General features: G+C 39.1%; 1 long non-coding RNA gene across 1 annotated transcript; it reads right to left on the bottom strand.

The window, feature by feature from the left end:
• Positions 1 to 1,068: 1,068 nt before the first annotated feature.
• Positions 1,069 to 3,216, bottom strand: LINC02876 (long intergenic non-protein coding RNA 2876). The gene is made up of 4 exons (NR_164143.1): positions 3,000 to 3,216; positions 2,195 to 2,281; positions 1,937 to 2,085; positions 1,069 to 1,465 (listed from the first exon to the last, which is right to left on the bottom strand). It is a non-coding gene; the product is annotated as a long intergenic non-protein coding RNA 2876 (long non-coding RNA).
• Positions 3,217 to 5,115: the final 1,899 nt, after the last annotated feature.

Below are 5,115 nucleotides of genomic sequence, written 5' to 3'. Positions count from 1 at the left end.
TTTTTGTTTATTTTACTTGAAATAAGATTTTGTTGTCTGAAACCAAAAGAGTTTGGACTGAGGTAGAAGTAACAGGAGTATGTAGACTGGATAAAAATAAGGTTGGCCAAGGAAAAGTAAAACCAATTGGAAAACATTTGAGAGGGAAGAAATGAGGGAGTCAGGAAGACACCCGAACTAGAAAGTAAGGGATCAATTCAAAAAATACTATAAAGAAATGTACAGCAATAAGAAGTCAGTGATTATATGCGAAACTTCATAAAGACAAGTTGAAATTCACAAATGTGATTAAACAAGGTCATATTCAGTCTATAGTATGTACAATACCATAATATTGAATAATTAGATTAACCAATATAGGGAAGCCAGGATATTGTCCAAGTGATTTGATTTTGCAGGAATAATAAAGAATTTATTGGTGTTTTTATTAAATGTAAACTCAGTGAAGGTGGGGTTGTTTGTTTTTTTCATCACTATATAGTGGTGTTGTAAGACTTACTCCTCAGTTCAGCTAAAAGCTGGGTTCTTGTCACACAACCGTGAAAGATTAGGCTCACAGACACTTTGAAGGGTGAGAAGGGCAGGGTTTATTGGGTGAAAAGGAAACAAAAGGAAACAGGGACTCTCAGCAAAGAAATAGTCCTGCTAATATGCTTCCCGCCTCACAGATTGAATCTCAGTTTACCACCCCAGATCAGGAGAGGCCAGGCTCCTCCCCACTGCAAACAGCATGAACTTCCCAAGGCTCCACCCCAGTGTACACTCCTCCAAGTGTGCAGGCTGGTCAGAGTTTCTTTGGGGACCCCTTTATACTTGGCTGTCTTACTGGTGCTCAGAAAAATGCACAGTGGTTTATATTTGCTCAGCAAATATTTTTAAATAAAGTGTGGTTTTTTTTGTATGATAGCAGAACATTCACAATGACACGATGAGCAGGAAAAAAATAAATTATTTCATCCTCATTACTATATGAGCATTATGTTGGTGCTAGAAAAAATAAAATCAATGAAACATGGTAAACCTTGACAGAGGTTTACAGTCCTGGGAAAAAAAAGGCAAAGCTGAACGTACAGATACAAGGTTTATTGGCTCTTAAAACTTGAGAGTGGGAGGTTTTGGCAGAGAGTAACGGTTCAGCTTCATGGGAATTTTTGCTTTTAATACATACTCTGTTACCTTGCTCTACATCATCTAAACAGGTATCAACTGCACTTGTATTTTGTAGTTTGATATCTAATGCATAAGTCTGATATGAGCACCTTTTCCCATTTGTAGGATTCAGGCTCAGTACTTATGCATCATCAAGGTGCATCACCTCCATCTGTAACAGCTGGCAACATTAAGTATCTGGTAATTTCCAGGAGCTCCTCTCAGAGGTGTAGCTCACCTTGCAAAGGATCTAAAACATAAACAAGACGACACTGAGCAAAAGGGATGGTGGATCCAGTTCCAGTGAGAAGGCCATCTGTCATGGAAAATGATAGAGTCGTAATTGAGGGGAGCCCATGTCGCCAATGAGAGAATCACATTAAACAGCAAGAATAAAGGGAAAAGGACAAAATGAAAGAGGAGAATGAGCTGAGAGGATTCTAGTCATGATGGTATCACAGTTAGAGAAGAGCAGGTTAAAACGATCAATTCAGATAAAAAATATTCAATGGTGAAGTCATACTTGCACTCAACATGAATGCAGTGCTGTTTGTTGTATAGACACAGCATAATGGAGCTCTGTATGGCGAAACATATGATGTCATCCATAAAAATTGACCAGGTTACTCTATAGATATGTCTATATTCATGTATTCAATAATTATTCATCAAATGCATAATATATGCAAGACATTTTTCTGAGAGCTGTGGAGAATTAATTATCAATCTAACAAAACTCTGCCTCTGAAGTAGAAATTATCAAAGTTTATAAAAAAGACACACTCACATTAGTTTGAAATTTTCCGAATAAATTTCTTTTGTACTCTGGGAAGATCTTACTTAAAGCAAATTCATCTGTAAAGAATGGAGAAGCTTCTGTTCTACCATTGCCAAGGAAAATTCCAGTTAGTATGAATGAGGGCCCCAATCTCATATCTGTGCACAAGAAAGAGGAAAGGAAAGAATGGAGAGGTCAGAAAACAGTGGTGTGGAAATTAAAATCCTCATTTAAAAAATCTAAGAAGAACATGAGGGAAGCAATTACTCTGCATGTTTCCCAGCTGATTCACAGGAGATTCATGATTAGAGTTGGCCAGAGGAGGTGAAGGCATGGACTCTGTTGTGCCTCTTCCTGGAATTAGATGATATGGATGAGCAGTTCTCCCCTTGATGGAGTCCACATCATTTCCCCTGCCGTCCCTCTCGCTGGAAATGTCCCCCAGCTAACACAGGGCTTGCTCTGCTGTGGCTGCAAAGCTGAGCTGCTGGCAGGGGGCAGATTGCTTTCCACAGAGGAGACCAGATATGGTTTCTTTGCTGCTAACCTGGTAGCTACACAGGCAGCAACTCCTTTGGAAGAGACTCCACCCTAAACCCTTTAAGGCTGGGCGAAAGATTAATGCTGCAGCTTAAAGTCAAAGAAATTCCAAGCTCCTTGCTCCAGAGCAGATTAAGTCAGTAGGAGATCCAAATAATGAGAGCCCCGAGGAACTATTCTGAAAATCAGAAGAAACTGAAAGAAAAACTTAAAATAACATCTCTTTTAAAGGAAAAGAAAAACAACAGGGAGGTTTAATAAATTTATATGGCCTCTCACTGGATTGTAAACATTTGAGATGATAAGTAAACAGAAGAGGGAATGGTGCAAAAGAGGAAAAAAATAGATGGTTCTTACAACTCTGCAGCATCTGCCAACCCAAACTACAGTGCAGACCAGACTGGTGAATTTCTCTGGGGACTTCCCAGGGTGTGAAAGAAGGGAAATGGGGAAATAATAAGACCTGAGTTTCAAGGGAAAGAAAGAAAAAAATTAAATCTCTAAAAGTTTGCTTTTCTAGTCCCTGAATTACCATCAGCAAATGCTACGAAGGTGGATTTAAGGGAAGTATACATGCTAGAGATGCCGTTGAAGAAGGGAGGAAGCAGTGCTTGACCATCTGAAGCTGAGGAGTTCTGAAGATCCTTATCCAACCTCAAACTTGCTGGTGCTCATGTCTCTGTGGTTCTGAAGTAGAACTAGCCTTCAATCTCAGTGTCATGCCTTTATTCATTTAGGCCTGGAGGGAGGACAGAAGAAGAACCTTGCCTCTGTAATTTGGACTTCCATTATTCTGTCACAATTGCTGCCTTGTTGTTTTGTGGGTTTTTTTTTTTTTAATCATTTTTTTTTTCTGGCAGTTGCACAAGAATGTCCAGGAACCATATGGCAGAATGAGTTTTCATTTCTGTGTTCTCCTTTATTCCAAGTTCAAAATGCTGCTCGTGAAACCTAATCATAGATCTTAAAAACCCTCCTTGTCTCTCTCATTTCTCCCTCTCACTACTGCCTAGGGATTTGGCTCAAGGAAACCTTGGCTAACAGTCAACTGAAAGTTGACTCTCAGATGGAAAGGCTGGGAAATATCAAAGACCTGCAAATGTTAGTTTGATTCACTTCAAGGTCATCACATCAACCAACATTTTATCAGCATCTGCAATTTCTAGATGTTTTGTAAAGTGTTGTGGGAATACAAAGATGATAAAAACATAGACATTTGCTCAACCAGGGGTAGTGGAAAGTGCAAAGACTGAAATCAGAGGAGAGTTGACCTGACTCTGCTGCTATAATTATGACTGTTTTCCCTCTAAATTCCCTTTTCTTAGAATACGGCCCCACTAGCAGTCCAGGGCAGCATGAGGGGCTCATATGAACAGACTTTTATTCTGTGATACTGCCGTATTCACTGATCCAACACCACAGGTTCTCAGCTCAAGGATGAGGTTGGGCAAGGGTGACCATATTCCATCTCTATACTATAAATTTAGGCTTGGCTTGGTGACTAAATGCCTTTAATCCATGCACTTTGGGAGGCTGAGGCAGGAAGACTGCTTGAGCCTAGGAGTTCAAGGCTGCAGTGAGCTATGATTGTGCCACTGCACTCCAGTCTGGATGACAGAGAGAAAATCTATCTCAAAATAATAAATAAATAAATTATAGGCTTACAATGTTAGGCTTTAGAATGTTAGATTTAGCACCAGAATTTGCTATGCTGAAGCAAAGCTAATGGAAAGCTAAGATTGAGAAGAATAAAAAATAAAATTATTGTAGAGAAAGCCAGTGTACACAGAAATGAATACAGCAAATATGCAGAGAGAAGCAAAAATATGTGACAACTGAGAGGGAATAAAACAAAGGGTCAGAGCGGGCAGAAGGCAGGGACAGAAGAGAGAAAAGTGACTAATGACTGACTAACATGAGACGTTGTATTTCTTGTAAAGTATCTTACGACATTTCTCATATTCTGAAGACCCTTCTTTTTAACTTTAGCTTATATATTTTTTGTCCTTTGAAACCAAATTAACATTAATTATAACAGATGTTGACTTGTGTGGTCTAGAACAGATCATACGATCTCTTGAGTTATAACTTGGTTAACTTTTAGGATAGTGACATATTGTTTCTTAATCCCAGAGTCAATGATGATACCTGAGACAATGCTGTGATGATTGGCATTTATCTGCTCAGTACATGGTCTCTGAATGGTAATCTCCAGCCAAGGCATTAGTGATGGAGAGTATGGAGGGATCTAATCATGAAGACAGTGAAGGCTCCGGGAACTCTGGGAAAGATAAAATGGCAGTGGCTATGGTGGAGAAGCACGGTAGGGAAGAAGCTTGGTGTGGCATGGTTTGGCTGGGGTGAAGGACTAAAGGTGGAAAACAGAAACAGAGTATGTCTGGTGATTTTATGACCATGTTTAGGGATTTGAATTTCAAGTTAGTTTTGGTTTTAATATCTTTAAGGCATATCCAGTTGATAAGGTATGTGTAGGGCTGGGGAGGTAGAAGGTAAGATTTATTAACACAAAGTCCCTCAATCTTTTACATTCATGTTAACCCAGTTCAAAATCCAGAGTGTTTTACTCTCTATAATTTGCATTTTAAAAAGATTGGGATTTTTTTCAAATATAAATTGATATTATACCT

Source organism: Homo sapiens, chromosome 17 (assembly GCF_000001405.40).
Source record: "Homo sapiens chromosome 17, GRCh38.p14 Primary Assembly".
Taxonomy (NCBI): Eukaryota; Metazoa; Chordata; class Mammalia; order Primates; family Hominidae; genus Homo; species Homo sapiens.
This window is presented reverse-complemented; position numbering and strand designations above follow the sequence as displayed.